The following is a 22,271-nucleotide window of genomic DNA, read 5'->3' on the forward strand; positions in this document are numbered from 1 at the left end:
TTGGAGTGATTATTTTGGCTTAATATCTGACTCCTCCACTTTCCTGGAAGTGTCACAGCAGCCGGGACGTATTTGTTGATTGCCGCTGCATCCTAGTGCCTAGCATTGTGCCTGAGATGTAGTCGGTGGTCAATTAGTATTTACTGACTGAATTAATACCTTGTGAGAAAGGTAGAGGAGTTACTCCAAGGCACACGCCATAGCAAGGTCATGGAGGTTGTGTAGTGCATACGTTTCAAAGTGTGGTCTGGGGACCCCAGGAGTCCCCAACAATCTTTCAGGGGGTCCTTGAGGTCAAAGCTATTTTTGTGACAATACTAAGATGTCATTTGCTTTTTTCACTCCCATTCTCTCATGAGCTTGGAGTGGCATTTTCTGGAGGCTGTTTGATGTGAGATGATGTTGTACTCGGACAACAAATGGAACGTGTGCTTGTGTATTCTTGAGCTTTAAAAATTTCACAGTTTTAATTTCTAATATGGTGATTGATATAACCCACAGAAACAAAAGTTCTTTGGGATCCTCAATACTTTTAAAGACTGTGAAGGGATCCTAAGACCCAAATGTTCAAGGACTGCTGACAGCGCGTGAGCACGCCTAGTGTCCAAAGGCCCGGGTTCAAATCTGGGATGTGTGTGTTCTTAGGTGAACTACATAAGCTCTTTGTGGCTTATGTCCTCATCTGCAAAACAGGGTAACAATAAAACTAATCATGTGGGGGTCTGGGCACGGTGGCTCATGCCTGTAATTTCACCAGCACTTTAGGAAGCCGAAGTGGGCGGATCACCTGAGGTCAGGAGTTCGAGACCAGCCTGGACAACATGGTGAAACCCCATCCCTACTAAAAATATAAAAAAATTAGCCAGGAGTGGTGGCAGGTGCCTGTAATCCCAGGTGCTCGGGTGGTTGAGGTGGGAGAGTCTCTTGAACCTGGGAGGCGGAGGTTGCAGTGAGCCGAGATTGCGCCACTGCACTCCAGCCTGGTGACAGAGTGAGATTCCACAGTCTCAAAAAAACAAAACAAACAAACAAACAAACCCCAAAAACTAATCACATGGGATGTAAGGTTGTTGAGAGGATTAAATAGGAATTGATTCCTATCAAAAGTAACTAGAATACTGCCTGGTAAACAGTGTTCTTTGAAGATTAGCTAGCATGGAGGCCCAGAGACATTGAGACCTGTTCAAGGTCCTACTGGAGTGGGTGGCAAAGCCCTGAGCCGTTGATTGGTAGGACTGAGGGTTTGTTTAGCTCCTCCCATGGCTGAACCAGGCAGTGGGGTGGGGGGCGGGCTTTCTCCCACATCTGAACCAGGAAGTCAGGAAGAAGGAGGTGCGATTGGTGACTGCACAACCAACCAATCCCTGTCTACAGGGCCTGAAAGAGGTGCTGAGCAGGAGGAAGAGAGCCCCAAGGACAGGGTCTTGGCCAGCTCGCCTGGGAAGGGAAGGGCTTTTGGGCACTGGGTGCTCGCACCTGCTTCTGAACACAGCAGGGCTGGCCCTGGTCAGGGAGAAGCTTCGATTCCTGGAAATGCACATCAGCACATTTGTTACTGTCTTATCAGCAGAGTGCAGAGGCAGCCAGAGAGTGAGGGACGAATCCTGTTCCTCGTGACGAAATGCCCTTCTGGTCAAGTATGAGAAATGTTTTAGGAATGAGTTCCTAGCCCTGGTGTGAAAACAGATGTTCGATTCTCTCTGTCTTTTTTTCCTTTCCCCTCTGACATAGTTCAGGAAGCCAGGGCAGGAGTCAAACGTTTGAGCTGCTCACAAGGGTAAAGGCCCTGGAGTGATGTCAGGAGAAAAGCTTCCAGGTCAGGCTGCAGGAGCTGGGAGAGCCTCCATCCATTCCCCCGTTCTGCAGAAGAAGAAACTGAGGTCTCTTTGAGAGGGAAGGAGGTGCCCACAGTCACACAGCTTGGCCAGGGCTCTCTTTGGCTAATGAAAGCCCGATATAAGATTGGCAACAGTCACAAAATTAGGACTGACAACGTTGAATGGGTCCATAAAAAAATGAGCTTGGAAAAAAATGATGACAAGGGCAAAAGGCCTATCTAAGAATTTATTTTTTATTCTTTAAAATAATTAAAATGTTATTTTTTCTCAAAAATAATATTTATAAGAGAATTGAAGCACTTATTGAGGGTATTCAGCCCCCACATCTGCCAGGTTGAAGGACTGACTCATGGAAATAGGTCAGGCTTTGGCATCAACAAGAACTAGGGTTAAAAGTTCTGGATCTGCCATTCAATTGTTGTGTGATCTTGGGCAAGTCTCTGAGCCTCAGTTTCTCCTTTATAAAATGGGGATCATGATACTTTCTTAAAAGGAATGTTGTGAAGAAAGTGGAATTATGGCTGGCCACAGTGGTTCACTCCTGTAATCCCAGCACTTTGGGAGGCTGAGTGGGTGGATCACTTGAGGTCAGGAGTTTGAGACCAGCCAGCCTGGCCAACATGGTGAAACCCTGTCTCTACCAAAAATATAAAAAATTAGCCAGGCATGGTGGTGCACACATGTAGTCTCAGCCCCTGGGGAGGCAGAGGGAGAAGAATCTGTTGAACCTGGGAGGTGGAGGTTGCAGTAAGCCAAGATTGCAACACTGCAATTCAGCCTGGGCGACAGAATGAGACCCTGCCACAAAAAAAAAAAAAAAAAAAAGAAAAGAAAAGAAAAGAAAAGAAAAAGAAAGTAGAATTACTATTAGAAGCTGACTATTTTAAATATATCTATGTGCCAAACCATATGTCATATTCTTTCATGGATTATATACATTGGATCATCCAAAGAACTCAATAACTGTTAAGTCTCATGCTACAGTAAGAATCAGAGGTGGGATTTGAACCCACACCATCTGACTCCACAGCCTGCATTAACCCATGTAAATTGCCTAGGACAACAACAGCACATGCAAGCCAATATTGGTGCTATGATCTGAATGTTTGCGTCCTCCCTTGCCCCCCAAATGTATATGTTAAAATTCTACCCCCAAAGGGATGGCATTAGGAAATAAGACCTTTAGGAAGTGATTAGGTCATAGGACGGAGCCCCCATGAACAGTATTTGTCCCCATAAAAAAGAAGTCGCAGAGAGCTAGGCTCTATCTATGAACCAGGAAGCAGGCCCTCACCAGACACGGATCTTGGACTTCCCATCTTCCAGAACTATGAGAAATAAATTTCTGTTGTTGATAACCCCATCTATGGGATTTTTGTTAGCAGCCCAAACAGAGTAAGACAATTGGTATGATTAAAGTAATCATATTTCATTTCACTTGGCTTACGTAGCATCACAAAGGCCTTATCACTCTGAGATCATCATTGAAAAGAAGTCAGGAAAGTAGTACCATGAAATATCTGAAGACAAAATCCAAAGTCTCTTTGGTATGTGGGATGAGTAGCTGTTACTGTGGTTCTAAGCTAGGAATGCCACCTTGAGGAGTTTGAGAAATATAAATGAGGTCTCCTGAGTCAATTTCTGTATCATAAAATTAAGGATGGCAATCTTACATTGAACCCCTATTATGGATATTCCCAGATGAACTAAACTATCTTATTACTGTGCTTTGAGCAGGAATTACACAACCCAGTGGAGAAACATTGGTTATCTCATGCTGGTCACAAGGTTAGGTTGGCATTAATATAATTGTCTCAATTAAAACAAATGGATCATTACGCAATAAACATCTTTGTTGTTGTTATTGGTTGCATCCTTTTGCAGTGTGTATGGCTCAAAGGAAAGAAGTCACAGCAGGGTCCCTCCACGATGACAAAGTTGGGAGCCACTCAGCTGAGAGTTGCAGCCATTTCAGGTTGTTATTTAAAATATATGTATTTATTCATTTATTTTATAGAGATGTGGTTTTACTATGCTGCCCAGGCTAATCTCAACAAACCTCTGGGCTCAAGCAATCCTCCGACCTTAGCCTCCTGAGCAGCTGGGAATACAGGCACAAGCCCCTGGGTCCAGCTTATTTCAAGGTTGTTTTCTTTCTTTTCCTTTTCTTTTTTTTTTTTTTTTTTTTTTTTGGTAAGATGGAGTCTCGCTCTGTTGCCCAGGCTGGAGTACAGTGGTGCGACCTTGGCTCACTGCAGCCTCCACCTCCCAGGTTCAAGCAATCCTCCTGCCTCAGCCTCCTGAGTAGCTGAGACTATAGGCATGAGCCACCACTCCCGGCTAATTTTTTGTTTTTTCAGTAGAGACAGGGTTTCACCATGTTATCCAGGATGGTCTCAATCTCCTGACCTTGTGATCCACCTGCCTTGGTCTCCTGACCTTGTGAGCCCCTGTGCCCGGCCTTCAAGGTTGTTTTCTGAGCAGAGACTGTCCACGTTGGCAAGGAAATTCAGAAAATGATGAATGATCCATTGATCTCTGATGTCTACAAAACTCCTGATTACTGAAAAGAAATGGAAGTACATCTGCTCCACTGCATCATTAAAGGAACAGGTGGAGAGTAGACAGGACTTGTTCAGGATTGCCAGGGAAATCCAGGCAGGTGTGGGGCTCCTGAGACCTTGCTCTTTTCTCAGTGGTTTTCAAATGTCTTGATGAGTTCTACAGAAGAGTTTTCTGAGCTCTTTGGACAGGAAGCCCTTGTTATTCAACAACCTGTGAAATCTTCCCTGAGAAGGTGACTTAAACTAATAAATAAATAAATATAACAAACAGAAAATTATATCATAGGTGCACAGCTTGATGAATTTTTATGAACTCATTCAACCAGCCCCCAGATACTAAAATAGGACATTACTAGCAACACAGAACCCCCCATATCGCGCTACCTTCCAGTACCTACCACTCCTCTAAGGGATTACTACCATCCTGACTTCTAACACCAAGATGGTTTGGATGTTTGTCCCCTCCAAATCTTATGTCGAAATGTGATCCCCGATGTTGGAGGCGGGGCCGGGTGGCAGGTGTTCAGATCATGGGAGCAGATCCCTCATAAGTGGTTTAGCACCATCTCCTTGGTGATAAGGGAGTTCTTACTCTGAGTTCATATGAGATCTGGTAGTTTAAAAGAGAGTGGCACCTTCCCCCTGACCTGTTGCTCCCACTTGCACCATTTGACACCGACTGCTCCCACTTCTGCCATGATTGTAAGCTCCCTGAGACTCTCACCAGAAGCCAAGCAGATGGTGGTGCCATGCTTGTACAGCTTGCAGAACCATGAGCTGCTTAAAAACTCTTTTCTCTATAAAGTATCCAGCCTCAGGTATTTCTTTATAGCAATGTAAGAACAGCCTAATACAAACACTATAGATTGATGTTGCCTGATTTTGACCTTTTTATAAATGAAACCTTATGAAGTGTACATCAGTTAAAGCTGTCTGACTTCTTTCACTCATGATATGGTTTGGCTGTGTTGTCACCCAAATCTCATCTTGAATTGTACTCCCATAATTCCCACGTGTTGTGGGAGGGGTCCAGTGGGAGATCATTTGAATCATGGGGATGGTTCCCCCATACTGTTCGCATGGTAGTGAATAAGTTTCATGAGATCTGATGGATTTATCAGGGGTTTCCAATTTTGTATCTTCCTCATTTTCTCTTGCTGCTGCCATGTAAGAAGTGTCTTTCACCTCCCACCATGATTCTGAGGCCTTCCCAGCCATGTGGAACTGTAAGTCCAATTAAACTTCTTTTTCTTCCCCGTCTTGGGTATGTCTTTATCAGCAGTGTGAAAATGGACTAATGAATTCAACATTATGTTTGTGGTATTTATTCATATTTTTACATGGAATTTTAGATTGTACATTCTCACCGCTGGGTAGTATTCTATCCTAAGAATTCATTGATCTATTCTACTGTTGATAGGCATTTGGTTACCATGCATAATGCTGTTGTGAACATTCTAATGTGTGTCTTTTTGTGCATGTGTGACCACATTTCTATTGGGTAGATACAGGAGTGAAATTGCTTGGAGAGGTGAATTTGAACTGAATTTAACTTTCCAAAAAGGGTAGGGGGAAGCTATTGCAGCAGAGGGCAGTGTCTGTGCACAGGCATATAGTTCAAAAGGGCGAGAAACATCTGGGGAACAGAATGACTCAGTGGGTTGGGCATATGGTGCCCATGAAGCCTGAGCAATGGGATGCTCTCTCTTCTGGGATGACCCGCCTTTCCCTCCTCACCTCTAACTCCTTGTTCTTCAGTCATTTCTAGAGCAGCTTTGAGTTCACCATTTCCTGGAGCTTTCAGCTGTCTTGAGTTAGTTGCCTCTGTCTGGGTAGTTACCAGAGTTTCTATAGCCTGCTATGATTCTAGTTAACACAGCACTGCCCCCACCATGCTGGCCTTGTCTGATGACCCACCTGTCTCCTCATTAGGCTGTGAGTTCCTTGAAAGGCAGAGCAGGGTTGGCTCAGTGTCATCGCTTTGTACCTTGGACCCACTCTGTCCTATCTCTGTCCTGCTCTCTGTCTATGAAGCTGACCTCTCTGGACTGCATCAAGAGGCACGCCCTTCCTTTGCTTCTGACTTTGGCCAAAGAAGAAGCCTTCTCAGAAAACCAGAGGTAGAGATGAGAGTGAAAGCAGGTGATCTTTCCCAAAGTGCCTGGTCTGCAGGGTTATCTTGAGTTGACTGCATTCCCAACAGAAGGTTGTAGTTTCTCTCCAGGTAGGAGAAGTCCCTCTTCAGGTCTAGAGATACAAAAGTCCCAAAATTTCTAGGCTCAAAGTACTGCACTATGTTTGTGGTTCTCCTACCATTCAACCAACCCTGCTCAAATTGTCTTAATTTGTATGTGCCATCTGCTGGGGCCCTAACTGAGGCATGCATTTTATTCATCTCCATATCCATTTAGCACACTGCTTGGTACATGCTAGGGATCAAGGAAGGTTTATTGATTAAGTAAATAGGGAAGTGAGAGAGGCTGAAGATGTAGAAGCTGACCAGTAGCCAATAGTGAAGAACCTTGGATATCCTTTTGTGAAGTTTAGAGTTTAATCCTTAAGACCAGGTGTTGCAACTTCAAGTATTGTAGGGGCCAGGCAGTGGAGGTGGAATTGTGGCATAGTAGGAAGTAAGTTATGTCTCTTTTATACTTCTGCTACTCAGCATCAGCACATTAATGCTCTGCAAGAATTTGGACCTGGAATGGCCATATCTTCTGATTTTTTGAGAAATCAGAAATCAGAATTTTAAGTGGGCTGCCAAGTTTTAAATGTTGTCAATATTTAACATTTAAAAATACTTCATACTGGCAAACAAACATGTGGCTGCCAATTTGTAAGCTCTCTGTAGCCAGTAGGGACCCACTGGACAGTGTGAAGACAGAGAGATGGTCAGATATTGCATAGTGCCATGAAAAAGATATCCCCAGTGGATGAGCTGCAGAGACCAAGGGCCTTTGATCTCCGTTTCTGAAGTGGTTCGAATGTGCTGAGAGGTGCTTACACTGAGAACGTGAATCTTTCTCCATGACGGATAATTTTTTAAATCAGTTTTTAATTCTAAAAATAGTGTTTGGTGGATTTCTCCACTTTAGTCAGGTTCCCAGCCACTTTCTCTATTTCTGCTTCAAGCTAGGAGCTCTGAGTTCTTTTGGGTTTTATCAAATTATACACTGTGCAAAGGCATCATTTCACCAACAGATGGACTTAATGTGCATGAAAATACATGCCTTTTAAAGAAACTAAATTAGTAGTTCCACTTCTTTCCCCTTTTATTAAAGACAGAGTTCTAGGAGAGCTCTCTGCTATAAAGTCAGACTTTATAGACATCAGCAAAATGAGATTTATTTGGATAGAAATTGGACGGAACATCAGAGAAGTCTTTTGCAACAGTGAACCTGCAGGTTTCAAGTAGAGATTAGGAGGATGCTGGCCCCTGGATCCAGACTGGTTTAAAAAACAGAAGAGGGAGAAGAAAAGCTTTCAAATCTAACTCTTTAAGAGTTGAAGTTTCCCTTGAAAGAATGGGTTGATGCCTTCCTTCCATAAGAGGCAAAATGGCATGAAGACTGTGGAAGTTAAATGACGCAGGAAGGTGCCATCCATGGAGCACAGGAACTGGAACACAAAGACCTGGGTTCTGGTCCCAGCTTTATCACTAACCCCTCCTGGCTCATCTCACAAGTCCCCTCTCCTCTCAGACTCTCTGGTTTCTCATTTAGGATGTGGAATCTGTCTACCCCATAGCATTATAGTGAGAGAAGTAAAATAAATGGTGTAAAGAAAAGCACCTTTATTTCCATGCTTTTATTGTTTATGTATCTACTTATTTATTATAATGATATGAACAATAATGAGCACATTCTCACTATGAATTTCAGACAATGTGCCATCAATGCAAAAGCTCTCTTTGTTTTCCCTTTGTTCCAATCCCAGAATGATTACCAGTAATTATTAGCAGTTTGATATGTATGTGTCCCTGAATTTTTGTATAAAATTATATACATATAGACATACAATGCTTTTTTATCAATTAAGTAACATTATGCTATACATACCACATGTTTTGTTCTACTAAGTAAAACATTCTATGTCAGAATATACAAATCAGCCACATTCTTTTGGAAGGTTTCAAGGATGCCATAGTTTGGATGCACCATGATCCTTTTACCCATTCCCTAGGAATGGGTATTATGGTGCTTCTAATATTTCGCTGTTACCAGAAAACGCAGTCGATGTTTTTCATACCCATGTGAAACTATTTCCCTTGGGTAGGTATTAAGAACTAAAACTACTTGGTCAAAGAGAATACACATTTAAAATTTTTATAGATACTGCCAAATTGCCCTCCACACAGTCTGCTGATATGTGATCCTACAAGAAGTATTTAGGAGCATTCCTTTCACCTCTCCCTTCCTGACACTGGGATAGTATTAGTCTTTTAATTTTTACCCATCTAATGAGTGAAAAATAGAATTTTGCTGTCATTTTAATTAGCACTTTCCAGATAACTAGCGAGGCTGGTAGCTTTTCAGACCTTTACTGGTTATCTCTAAAGATGAGTATCTTGCTATGTGTTAGAATAGCTAACATAAAAAGCATGGCTGTAGTAGAAAGAATGGTGTATGTGAGAGAGAGATTGGCTCACGTTCTAGCTCTTGCATTCATAAGATTGGTGGCTTTTGGCAAGTTACTTCACTTTTTCAGGCTTTAGTGTTCCCATCTGTAAAATGGGAAACATACTGTTATAGACTGAATTTTTGTGTCCTCCCAAATTCATATGTTGAAGTCCTGACCCTCAATGTGATGGTATTTGGAGATAGGGCCTTTAGGAGGTACTTAGGTATAGACAAACGAAGCCATGTACAAACCAGGAAGAGGGCTCTCACCTGAAACCAAATTGGCTGGCACCTTGATCTTGGACTTCCCAGCCTCCAGAGCTATGAGAAACAACTTTCTGTTGTTGAAGTCACCCAGGCTAAAACATTTTGTTATGGCACCCTGAGCCAGCTAAGACACATATTATATCACCAATCCCTTGACTGAGGATTGTTATGAGAATTAAACGTGAATGTGCATGGAAACTTTTTTTGTGATAGTGTATTAGTCTGAGTTCTATAGAGAGAGCTGATGGTATAGTGCAGTCTGAGTCCAGAGGTCTGAGACCGAGGAGAGCTGATGGTATAAGTTCCAGTCCAAGTCTGAGTCTGAAGGCAGAAGTCCTGTGTTCCAGCTTGAAGACAATCAGGCAAATTTTGTTCTGTTCAATTCAGGGCTTTGACAGGTTGGATGAGGCCTAAGGGCAATCTGCTTTACTTAGTCTACTAATTCAAATGTTAGTCTTATCTAGAAAATCCCTCACAGATAAGCACAGAATAATGTTTAACCAAAGATCTGAGTACCCCATGGTCCAGTTAAGTTGACTCATGAGATTAGCCATCACATCTAGACAAAGATACAGATTTTGTTGTTGTTCATTTAACCTGCTGGGGAAAGAGTGATTTCTAATCTTCATCCCCTCATCATTCTTTCCTTATTTAGTATGCACTGATAGTCAATGATTGTGTAGCTGTTGAAAAGTACATTACTATTAAAAAGTTGAGTCTGCCGGGAGCAGTGGCTCATGCCTGTAATCCCAGCACTTTTGGAGGTCGAGGCAGGCGGATCACGAGGTCAGAAGATTGAGACAATCCTGGCCAACATGGTGAAACCCCGTCTCTACTAAAATACAAAAAATTAGCCGGGCGTGGTGGCACATGCCTGTAGTCCCAGCTACTTGGGAGACAGAGGCAGAGGAATTGCTTGAACCTGGGAGGTGGAGGTTGCAGTGAGCTGAGATCGCACCACTGCACTCCAGCCTGGTGACAGAGAAAGACTCCGTCTCAAAAAAAAAAAAATAAGTTGAGTCAAACATTTTCTGTTTTGCCTTTATTAGTGGTGAAGTTTATTTTGCCTTTATTAGTGGTGAAGCTTTGGGATGGATTTGGACAAAATCTCCAGATGTGAGTGCCATTTTTTTTGCTCTTCTTCCTAATGCACAAGTATCTGACCCAACACTTCCTCTGTAAAGAGACCCCAGAAGTTCCCTTCCAAAGGCAATGCACAGGTAGAGTCTCCTATTGGCTCATGGGTATATCTTGTTCTAGATACTCTCTCTTCTCTCAGACTAGCTTGCTGATCATCACTTGCCCAATCTCTTGAAAGCTTCTTGAGACAGAGGAGTTACCTTATTCATCTTTGCAATTCCCAAAGGGCCTAGTATTAGTCAGCCAGTAGGGGCTCCAGAATTATTGGCTGAATCCTGATGATATAGAAGCGGACATTCTGCCTGACCTAGTTGTGTGTATTTTCTCCTGTGAATTTAAACAGATGAGATATTAGAGCAGTGGCTCTAAGCAGCTTCAAAACTGTAGCTGCATAAAGAAACACCTGCAAAGTTTGTAAAATTCTCAGTGCCCAGCATGCACCCAGGACCAATTAAGTCAAAATGTTGGAGAGTTAGACTCAGGCATTCTTGCTTTTTAAAGCTTCTCAGTTGATTCTAACTTTCACCCTCTGCCGTAGAGGTTAGGTTGGTTCTTCTCCAGGCTGTGGGTTATCAGCCTAAGAAGATTTTGCACACTGTCTACCAGATAATCTCTTGCTATAATAATGTCCTTAGAAGGAAAACTTTGTAATTTTTTTTTTTTTACTGTTCTCCAAACTTCTATCCTGAAAAACTTTGTAATTTTATAAAGAGTCAACTCATAATAGCAATAGTGATTTTACTGCAGTCCAAAGTTCAAAAGTTGTATTTCAGAAATGAGGCCTTAATCCAAAGGCGAACAATATTTGGCAGAACAAGGCAGTAAAAATTTACCAGCAAGCAAGTAAATAAAGAACCTAAGAGTCATAGAGCACATAGCAATAAAGAAATGTTAGCCTAGTTGCCTTTTACCAAAGACTAGCCCTCAAACCAACATTGCTATTAATCTGTCACTATCTGGAGAAGCTGGCCTGGTGGTTTGTCACAGATTAGATTGTGCAAAAAAGCTATCAGCCTGCTGTTGAGCCAGAAGGCAGTTAGAAGAGGTATGGAAGAGGAAGAAGGAAGATTGCTGCTAGTAAAATCCCGCTCTGGCTCCCTCAAACTGATTGGATTCATTTAGAAAGAGTATTCAATCTCCTGTGCAGAATTACTGAAATTACATTTTGTATTTGCATTACCTTTGAACTATATGTTCTGTAGCTTGTACATGCATATGCATTTCATTCTTACTAGAACAGTATAAGTGGTGCACAAAACTAACTCAATTGTTTTAAATTCACTTCTTGATATGTGAACATTCTACCAATGCTGTCTACCTTTGGCTCACTGATGAGTAAAGATGGCCTAAAAGGAAACCAGGCTAAATGATTGCCCGAAACAGGAAAGTAACACAAGCAAGAAAACATATGACAGGGCTTGTTGGCCATTTGAAGTTAAGTTCTGCTTTCAATAAAAAGTATGGTCTCTTAGGACGGCCAGTGCCCCCAGCCCCCGACCCCCTGGCTTACCTAGTTCTAGAAATAACACTCTTACCTCATACTTGTTTGAACCTCACTGAACTTCTACATGCTGTGGGTCTGCTGGAATTTTGTGCTCACGAGGCGTGGTTGGCACTCCATGTGAATATGGCAGCAGGGAACAGGGGGCACACAGATTGCCTGAATCTATTCTGGTAACCTGTATGTTCCCATGTTCCATCAGATTTTGCTTAGAAAACACATATTCAAAGCTCAAACTATTAAGAATTTCAAGATGGTGCCAACAAAGCATTAAACCAAACATGGGGCCCTTCTGAGTGAGGGTTCTCTGGGGCTGCCCAGGTTGCACTGCTATGAAGCTGGCCCTGAGGACAGTGAAGGAAAATGCACTGCAGATGAAGCGATTGCAGCATTTCAGAAAGGATTTGGCAATTTGTGTGATATTCATACCTAATAGACTCATACTCCATTTCTGGGGATGTATCTCAATGTTCTAATTAAAGCTTTACTTTCAAAGTTGCTCATGACAGAATTGCCATGAGAGAAGTGAACAACCAGTTATAACCTAAATATATAGTTTAAAAAGATTAATTAAATAAATATTTCTTTGATAAAGTATTATGCATCCAGTAAAACCCATGGAGACTGTGTCAACGCATGATGATATGGTTAGGTTTCGTGTCCCCACCCAAATCTCATCTTGAATTATAGTCCCCATAATTCCCATAATCCCCACATTTCAAGGGAGAGATCAGGTGGAGGTAATTGGATCATGGTTTCCCCCATGCTGTTCTTGTGATAGTGAGTGCGTTCTCACAAGATCTGATGGTTTTATAAGGGCCTCTTTACCCTTTGCTTAGCACTTCTCCTTCTTGCTGCCTTGTGAAGAAGGTGCCTTGTTTCTCCCTTGCCTTCCACCATGATTGTAAGTTTCCTGAGGTCTCCCCAGCCATGCTGAACTGTGAGTCAATTAAACCTCTTTCCTTTATAAATTACCCAGTCTTGGGCAGTTTTTTACAGCAGTATGAAAATGGAAGAATACACATGAGAAAATGTGTCTGCTTAAATGTTAGTGGAAAACAAAAAGATGTACTATTTCATGCTACATACTCTGATTTCATATTTATATATTTGAAATAATATTATATAGATTATATATGTAAAATATGTATCTGTATCTTCAAGTAAATGTTAGTCAAATACTTCACAGTCTTTGCATATTAGATTATTAGGCACTTTTCTTTATTCTTTATTTTAGTTTCTACTTATTCCAAACTTTATTGTATGAAAATTTATTTCTTAACTACATTTTGTTTATTTGTTACAGCCTTATCTTACTGATGCTCCATAATTCTTTAGGACTTCAGGATAATGAAGACATCGCCATCAGTCAATTTCACATGTTTCATACAGTTTATAATATGTGGCATTTTTAGATTTTTTCTCAAAAAAGCAAAACTATGATTGAATGATCTGGCAGGGGAGACTGGAGAAGGGGTCAGGAGGGTTCACTGAAGAGAGGAGGCATTTTTTTTCTGCCTGGATTTTCATTGCCCTGTATATTAGTCCATTTTCACACCGCTGATAAAGACCTACCAGAGACTGGAAAGAAAAAGAGCTTTAATTGGACTTACAGTTCCACATGGCGGGGGAGGCCTCAGAATCATGGCGGGAGGTAAACGCACTTCTTACATAGAGGCAGTAAGAGAAAATGAGAAAGAAGCAAAAGCGGAAACCCCTTATAAACTAATCAGATCTTGTGAGACTTATTCACTATCATGAGAATAGCACGGGAAAGACCAGCCTCCGTGATTCAATTACCTCCACCTGGGTCCCTTGGAATTCTGGGAGATAAAATTCAAGTTGAGATTTGAATGGGGACACGGCCAAACCATATCACCCTGTATTAGGGTAGAGTTAATTGAAAGCGCTTTATGATGACGCTGCTGAACTTCAAATAGCCTGAGTGTTACAGGAAGTCTATAGGGCTGAGACCAAAAGGACCTAGAAATCCAGCTCTACCTTGTTCTCTTTGTTTTGTCGTCTCTCTCTTTTTTTTTTTTTGGTGGTGAAAAACACATGATATAAATTTTACCATTTTTATGTGCACAGTTCAGTAATATTAAGTATATTTACATTTTTGTGAAACATCCACTAGGCTTTTTTTTTTTTAAAAAAAGTCTTTTTGAGGTATAATTGATCTATTAAAAAAACTGTACATATTTAATGTATAAGATTTGATGGGTTTAGATGTGTGCATCCACCCATGAAACCATCACCACAGTCAAAGTAATAAACAACCATCTCTGTATTAATCCGTTCTCATGCTGCTGATAAAGACCTACCCTAGACTGGGAAGAAAAAGAGGTTTAATTGGACTTACAGTTCCACATGGCTGGGGAGGCCTCAGAATCATGGCGGTAGGTGAAAGGCACTTCTTAGATGGGGGCAGCAAGAGAAAATGAGGAAGAAGCAAAAGCGGAAACCCCTGATAAACCCATCAGATCTCGTGAGACTGTTTAACTATCACGAGAATAGCAGGAGAAAGACTGGCCCCCATGATTCAATTATCTTTCCCTGGGTCCCTCCCACAACACGTGGGAATTCTGAGAGATACAATTCAAGTTGAGATTTGGGTGGGTACACAGCTGAACCATATCAATCACCTCCAAAAGTCTTCTTGTGTCCCCTATGCTGTTTTTTTTTTTTTTTTTTTTTTTTTTTTTTTTTTTTTTTTAGAAAATATGGAATGGTTCATGAATTTGCATGTCTTCCCTGGGCAGGGACCAGGCTAATTTCTGTATCATTCCTATTTTAGTATATGTGCTGCTGAAGTGAGCATTCCAACCCTGTTTTTGTGATAAGAGCACTTAACATGAGATTTATGTTTAAACAAAATGTTTAAGTTTACAATACAGTAAACTATAGGCACTATGTTGCACAGCAGATCTCTAGAACTTATTCATCTTGCATGTAAAATGTTGCAGCCATTATGGAAAACAATATGGAGATTCCTCAAAAAATTAAAAAAATAAAACTACCATAGTACCTGCAACCTCACTTCTGGCTATATATCCAAAAGATTTGAAATCAGGATCTCAAAGAGATATTTGCCCTCCTATGTTTATTGCAGCATTATTCATTGGCTTAGTTTATTTTCTGCTGCTATAACGAAATACCACAGACTGGGTATTTTATAAAGGAAATAAATTTCTTTCTTACAGTTCTGGAGACTGGGAATTCCAAGAGCATGATACCAGCATCTGGCGAGCGTTATCCCCTGGTAGGAAGTATCACATGGTGAGTGAATGTATAAGACAGAGAGAAAAGTGAACCGAACTCATCTTTTTTTTTTTTTAAGCAGGACCCTACTTCTTTGACAACTAACCCACTCCCATGATAACAGTATTAATTCATGCCTGAGGGCAGAGACCTCATGACTTTATCGTCTCTTAAAAGTCCTGACTTTCAATACTGTTACAATAGCAATTAAATTTCAACATGAATTTTGGCAGGGACATTCAAACCATAGCATTCACAGTAGCCAATATATGGAAACAAACTTAATGTCCATTGATGAATGAATGGATAAAGAAAATGTGGTAAATCCACACAGTGGAATATTTTTCAGTATTAAAAAAAGAAAGCAATCTTTTCGTATGCACCAATATGGATAAACCTGGAGGACATTATGCCAAGTGAAATAAAGCAATCACGGGAGGACAGCTATTGTATCATTCCAGCTCTAACTCTTATTAGCTGTGTGATTTTTGAACCTAAGTTATTACAGCTGTAAAATAGGAATGATACTCCTGCCATAAGAGGGTGAATGAGAAGACACCATCAGAACATTGAACTGTGCACTGTGTGCACTGAATCTGTCTTGGAAAAGTCACTCTGTCAAATGTTGGTTGTTGGTTGTACCACAAAGCCTCATATTCCATATTCCTCTTGGGGATTAGCGGGCCAAGTTTTGGCCATTGAAATAGCAAATTAGTTTCCAAATATATTGTTTCCAGGAAAATTATCTTTTCAAAACAGTTATGGTGTTTCATGTCTCACAAACCACAGAGTTTATTGTTCATCATTTCTGCTTCAAAAAAGTGCTCTTTTTTATGTTTTTAATGTATTCCAAGAAAAATTAAAAATGTTTCCATCACGGTTAAAAAAAGAAACAAACCACCTTTGAATTCTAGAGGTGGTCAAATTTAATAAAATGAGACATAGGCAGCTAGAAAACTTTTTTTTTTTTTGAGATGGAGTATCGCTCTGTCGCCCAGGCTGGAGTGCAGTGGCGCAATCTTGGCTCACTGCAAGCTCCACCTCCCGGGTTCAGGCCATTCTCCTGCCTCAGCCTCCCGAATAGCTGGGACTACAGGCGCCTTCCACCACGCCAGGCTAATTTTTTTGTATTTTTAGTAGAGACAGGGTTTCACTGTGTTAGCCAGGATGGTCTCGGTCTCCTAACCTCATGATCCACCTGCCTCGGCCTCCCAAAGTGCTGGGATAACAGGCATGAGCCACCGCGCCCGGCCTAGAAAACTTTTATTCAACATTGTTATAAAAGTAAGTCTGCTGTGGTATTGTTTGCTCTGCATTCAGTGATTGATTCATTGACTCACACGCTCAGCATCTGCTGAGTGACTAGAGCTGAGTATAGGGGTGGAGAGATAAGATGAATAAGGTATGATTCCTCTGCCCTCTCTTCCCTGCACCTTGTTTTCCAGGAGGCAGGCTTGTAAACTAACAATATGTTAGCTGTACACAAAAGATTATAGGAGCCGTACCTGGGGGTGCCAACTCTGGCTGAAGAAGTTGAGGATGGTTTCCATGGGATGGATCTCAGCTCTCCCAAAGCGCTTCAGAGCTCTTACCCCTACAACACCTTCATTATGATGTGGTGTAGATACAGGCTGGCTCCACCCTCAGGGCATGCACTGCTGGTCAGACAGGCAGGTGATTTAAAGACATTTTTCTTACCACTGTCAGCAGTAGGGCCTAAAGCTTGGTCAGAAGGCAAAATGAAACTGTTAGCAAAGCGAAGCCTGGGAATTCCAGATCCTGGGTCCTTATGTGCCCATTATAACTGAGAACAGCCTTTGGCAAGTGTACAAATGGGATCACTAGGCTAGAGAAATAAGACCTTTGTTTGTGAGTACAGGTTGAGTATCCCTTATCTGAAATGCTTGGGATCAGAAATGTTTTGAATTTCAGGTTTTTTCAGATTTTGATATATCTGCATGTATGTAATGAGATATCTTGTGGATGGAATACAAATCGAAACACAAAATTCATTTATATTTCATGTACACCTTCTGCAAATAGCCTTAAGGTAATTTTATATGATATTGATTATTATATTTATACGATAATATTTATATGATTATTTATACGATATTATAATGATTTTGTGTATGAAACAAAGTTTGTGTACACTGAACTACCAGAAAGCAAAAGTGTCACTATCTCATGTTGGTGCTCAGAAAATTTTGGATTTTTGAGCATTTCAGATTTTGGATTTTCAGATTGGGGCATTCAACCTGTGTTTTTAAGAGATTGCTGGATGAGGGAAATAGTCATTTTCTGATCACCTAGATCAGAATCATTTGTGGATGCTTGTTGAAAAGCAAATTCCGGGTCAGGTGCGGTGGCTCACACCTGTAATCCCAGCACTTTGGGATGCCGAGGTGGGCAGATCACTTGAGGTCAGGAGTTTGAGAACAGCCTGGTCAACGTGGTGAAACCCCATCTTTACTAAAAATACAAAAATTAGCCGGTCGTGGTGGCAGGTGCCTGTAATCCCAGCTACTCGGGAGGCTGAGGAAGGAGAATCGCTTGAACCCGGGAGGTGGATGTTGCAGTGAGCCAAGATCTCGCCACTGGACTCCAGCCTGGGTGACAGAGCAAGACTCCCTCTTAGAAAAAAAAAAAAAAAAAAAGCAAATTCCTGTTCTTCATAATAGAAGAACTGAGTCAAAATCTAATCTCTGGGATTGGGAACTGGCAATTTGTTTTTGACCAGTTTCCTGGTTAATTTTACATATGACCTAAAATTTATCAATCGCCAGTACAAGAGAAAGAACATATAGCTCAAAGTCAACAGTTCTGGTTCTATGGCTTAGGCACATCATTTTACTTTTTTGAGCTTCAGTTTCCATGCTGTAAAATGGGGCTTGAGAACAGTATTTCCCTTTCAATGTGGTTGTTAGATTGAAATAAAATTATGTGGGTGATGTCACCTCATAATAATAAAATGCCTTGCAGTGCTAAGTCATTGTTATTACTTTTCAAGACAGTGCATTTTCTTCTCAAAGAGCTTTTAACTGAATGAAAGTCCTTTTATAAATTTGTTGAGGGGCGTGTGGAATAGTCTTTTAGGCTTCTGCTCCTAGTTCTAACTTTGGAGATACTGTCAACATAATCAATTTGCATTGAATACAATATGGTTTTAATATACAATGATAAAGACTACCTCGGATTTCTTTATGAGTCTAGTCTAGGAAGAGATATGTAAATAAATAATTTCAATGCAATTTGAAAATAATAATTATAATGGTCATAATAAAAATGTTTAAATCAACAATTATTATAATTAACATATTTTGAGCATTATGATGTTCCTGGAATTCTGCTAAGTGATTATATTTTCTCATTTAAGCCTCATTATTACCCTGTAAGATGGGCATTATTATTTGCATTTTACAGATAATAAAATTGTGGCCCAGTGAGGTAGAATGACTTGCTCGAGGGCATACAGTCATAAATAGAAGAGTTCAGATCCAAATCCAAGTCTTGGTTGGGTGTGGTGGTTCACACCTGTAGTTGCAGCACTTTGGGAGGTGAAGCAGGAGGATTGCTTGAGGTCAGAAGTTTGAGACTAGCCTGGGCAACATTAAACAAAAGACCAAAAAAACCCTTAAAATCTATCTGTCTGATTCTATCTTCCTCCTCTTTCTGTTGGTCTATAGAGTTTCCAGGAAACTGTTAGGTTTGCATTTGCAATTGTGAGACGTAAATCCCTAGGCTGAAAGAATCCTCCTTAATGCAGTAACTTTCAAAATCTTGACAGTAATCCACAGTGAGAACTTGATCTTACAGCATGACCCAATGCACATACACACATACACAAAGGTACACACGTGTGTGTATGTATACTTGTCATAAAAAAAACTCAATACTCATTTTTACTATGATGGTTTTTCTTTTCTTCCTTTTTTTTTTTTTTTTTTTTTCTGAGACAGAGTCTCACTCTGTCACCAGACTGGAGTGCAATGGTACGATCTCGGCTCACTGCAACCTCTGCCTCCTGGGTTCAAGCGATTCTCCTGCCTCAGCCTACCGAGTAGTTGGGACTACAGGCACATGCCACCACACCCAGCTATTTTTTGTATTTTTAGTAAAGACAGGGTTTCACCATGTTGGCCAAGATGGTCTCGATCTCTTGACCTCAGATGATCCGCCCGCCTTGGCTTCCCAAAGTTCTGGGATTACAGGTGTCAGCCACCACGCCCAGCCTTGTTCCTTTTGTTTCATAAAAAAATGTTTGTGGTGACTCCATTGATCTGATTACTTTTTGATGGGTCTGACTTATGGTTTGAAAATCCCACCTTAAGGGATATTGAAACCAGGTCTCTCTTTTGTAGATGTGAAGTCTGTGACTGGAGAGGGCAAACAATCTGGGGAGGGTCTAATTGGTAATCAGCAGGAATCAGCTACCACATGGCTAGCCTAGAGTTTTGTATTTTCTGTTTTTTCCCTATTCATAGGTTCTAAAATGACAGTCCTGTTAACAGAAAGAACAATCATTTTGTGATCCAGCTGCCCTTGATTCAAATCTGAATTCCACCCTGTCTAGCTATATGACTTGATGTATGACTTCATCTCTCTGAGCCTCTTTTCCTCTCTGGACAAGGGAGGTAAAAATACCAATGAGGAGGCTTGTGAAGGTGAATTGATATCAAGGCCCAGTGCCTGGCATACATTATGTGCTTAACATAGGGGAGACACCACAGGTAACTGGGCGAAATGTTAAGCAAGGGACAGTGAAGACTGAGAGTCACTTGTTAGGTGGTCATGAAAGCAACCTCGTTGGTTTCCAGAATCCAGTGCAGCCTTAAGATTTGAGATGCGGAGATAACATTTGTATGTGTTTAGCAGTGTGGTTCAGTGGGGGAAAATGCTTGGCTTTGATCCAAACAGATGTGGCTATGAATCTCAGCTCCAGAACCTTCTAGCCTCAATCAACTTGTTTCTTCATCTGTAAACTGAAATATTAAAACTTCCTTCAAGAAGTATTGTGGGATTCAACAAGGTATTTTCCCAGTATTTACCCCTTCCTTTCACAACATGGCTTAGAAATTTTATGGATCACTTTTGATTTTACCTTTATATTATAGAAATTTTTGAACATACAAGAAAGTAAAAAGCATCCATATGCTGATCCATACACACCAAGTTTCCTGAATTATGGACCTGTTTGCATTGAATAGTTTAGTCTCTCCCCACAGTTGGCTAACATACTGCCTAGCTGATAGTAAGCATTCAAGAAATATTTGCTGGTTGAATGAATGGATAGGGGATGAAGAATGACAAACCTCACTTCTGTCACCAATTACTTATAGCAGGAACCCAAACTCAAATGACTTCAGGGGCCAGACAGTCAGTGTAATTGGGTGAATTATGCCCGGGTAAGACAATAAGGAGTGAAGGAGACTGTGGAGAGGATATATGGCTTCTAAAGGGACTTGAACTTAAATAAATTTTAACACTCTCTGAAGGTCCACTCTCAAAGATCTGTGGGCTATCCATGATCTCTGATTTTTAGAATGCCTGTTACATGATTTGCACCATGCTAGGCATTGAGACAAAGATATATCATGGACCAGTGAAAGGTAAACTGGAGAGTCCTACAGACCTAATCACCTGCTAAGTTGCTTTGGTTCACTAAGCCTCAGTGTTCTATCTGCAAATGCAAGTTATGAGACTGAATTTGCAGGATTGCTTAGGAGATCATGGTAGGCAGCCTCTGAGATGACCCCCAATGATTCCCCACCTCCTGTTACTCTCACTCTTGTGTGATCTCTTCCTCTTAAGTGTGGGCTCAATTTAGAGAGTTGCTTCTAATGAATAGGATACAGCAGAAGTGATGGGATGTCATTTTCAAGACTAGGTTATAAAAATTGTGGCTTCTTCGTAGAGTGTTCTTTCTGTTGCTTGGATTGTTCACTCCCCAGTCCTGAGGGAGCCCTCTGGAGAGGCTTATGTGAGTGAGCTGGGGAATGAGTTTTCTAAGACCTGCCAATAACCATATGTGGTGAGCTCAAATGCAGATCCTCATCCAGCTGAGTCTTCAGATGACACCACTGCCCCAACCCACACCTTGACTGCAACCTCATGAGAGACCGTGAGCCAGTGGCACCTAGGTAACCAACACTCACAGTTTCTCAACCCACAGAAACATTTACTTGTTATATGTGGTAACAGCCACTAAACAAGAAATCTTAATACCCTATAAACAAATGCTATGGCAAAAAAAATGTACATGGAGGGTAGGAACCTGAAGGAGAGAGCTTCCAATACTGGAGTCAGAGAAAGATTCACAGAAGAAATGAGTATTGGGTTACATAAGATGACTAAGAATATGAGGCAGAGAAACAGTATAAGAGTATGCTTTGTAGGGGGAACAGCCAAGACATAAGCAGTGAAAGGAACAGCAAGTGTGGATGGTGTGGTGGTTACGGGGCAGGAGACGAGACAGAAGGCAGACCACAGAGGACCCTTATTCAGTAAACGTGATTTATATTTGATTGACATTTCACTTTAGGATGCTCACTAGAATTGCATACTCAGAGAAGTAGGAGAGACAGTGGAAGTAAGGTAGTTCTTTGCCCACCTCCACTGTCTTTTCCAGGTAGTCCTCAAGAGAAAGTTAACTAAGGTATTCACTAAGGGCTGGCATGGTGGCTTACGCCTGTAATACTTGGACTTTGGGAGGCCAAGGTGGGAGGATCACTTGAGCTTAGGAGTTCACGATCAGCCTGGGCAACGTAGTGAGACCCCATATCTACTAAAAAATACAAAAATTAGCTGGGCATCGTGGCACATTCTTGTAGTCCCAGCTCAGCTACTCTGGAGGCTGAGGTGGGAGGACTGCTCGAGCCTGGGAGGCAGAGGTTGCAGTGAGCCGAGATCATGTCACTGCACTTCAGCCTGGATGACAGAGTGAGATCTTGTCTCAAAAAAAAAAAAAAAATTATTAAGGTGTTTACCTAAGTCCATTGTCAACTATCTTATTGTTAAATAGACAAGGCATGCAGCCGAGGAGGTTCATTTGACCCAGGTCATCTTGTATGAAAGTCCATAC

General features: G+C 41.3%; 2 long non-coding RNA genes and 1 pseudogene across 5 annotated transcripts in view, besides 3 other annotated features; 1 reads left to right on the top strand and 2 right to left on the bottom strand.

Annotated features, from left to right (window-relative positions):
• LOC105376209 (uncharacterized) overlaps positions 1–16,775 on the bottom strand; it is a 38,984-nt gene extending 22,209 nt beyond the window's left edge. The window contains exons 1-3 of one of the 2 annotated variants that reach the window (XR_930231.3): positions 16,696–16,775; positions 15,131–15,188; positions 10,678–10,755 (exon numbers count right to left, since the gene is read on the bottom strand). This is a non-coding gene — a long non-coding RNA (uncharacterized LOC105376209). Of the gene's footprint in view, positions 1–10,677; positions 10,756–15,130; positions 15,189–16,695 lie in introns of those variants that run through there. The other variant, XR_930230.3, reaches the window with a different exon arrangement.
• LOC105376208 (uncharacterized) overlaps positions 1–22,271 on the top strand; it is a 78,157-nt gene that overhangs the window by 48,299 nt on the left and 7,587 nt on the right. For all 3 annotated transcript variants that reach the window (XR_930229.2, XR_930228.2, XR_007061720.1), the window contains exon 3: positions 15,133–15,208. This is a non-coding gene — a long non-coding RNA (uncharacterized LOC105376208). The remainder of the gene's footprint in view (positions 1–15,132; positions 15,209–22,271) is intronic.
• Positions 1,319–1,818: an enhancer, noted in NCBI's record as "500 bp enhancer 40 fragment used in low-throughput reporter constructs". NCBI's record gives its function as "activates both an SV40 promoter and a TATA-containing promoter in K562 cells {active_cell/tissue: K562}" and the evidence as "EXISTENCE:reporter gene assay evidence [ECO:0000049][PMID:23512712]".
• Positions 1,497–1,641: an enhancer, noted in NCBI's record as "145 bp enhancer 40 fragment used in the MPRA reporter construct; PK_construct_4255". NCBI's record gives its function as "activates an SV40 promoter by MPRA in K562 cells {active_cell/tissue: K562}" and the evidence as "EXISTENCE:reporter gene assay evidence [ECO:0000049][PMID:23512712]".
• Positions 1,560–1,577: a transcriptional cis regulatory region, noted in NCBI's record as "GATA motif; enhancer activity is lost when this motif is scrambled". NCBI's record gives its function as "necessary for full MPRA enhancer 40 activity {active_cell/tissue: K562}" and the evidence as "EXISTENCE:site-directed mutagenesis evidence [ECO:0005528][PMID:23512712]".
• On the bottom strand, positions 14,647–14,750 carry RNU6-1064P (RNA, U6 small nuclear 1064, pseudogene; annotated as a pseudogene).

Source organism: Homo sapiens, chromosome 9, assembly GCF_000001405.40.
Source record: "Homo sapiens chromosome 9, GRCh38.p14 Primary Assembly".
In the NCBI taxonomy this organism is placed as follows: Eukaryota; Metazoa; Chordata; class Mammalia; order Primates; family Hominidae; genus Homo; species Homo sapiens.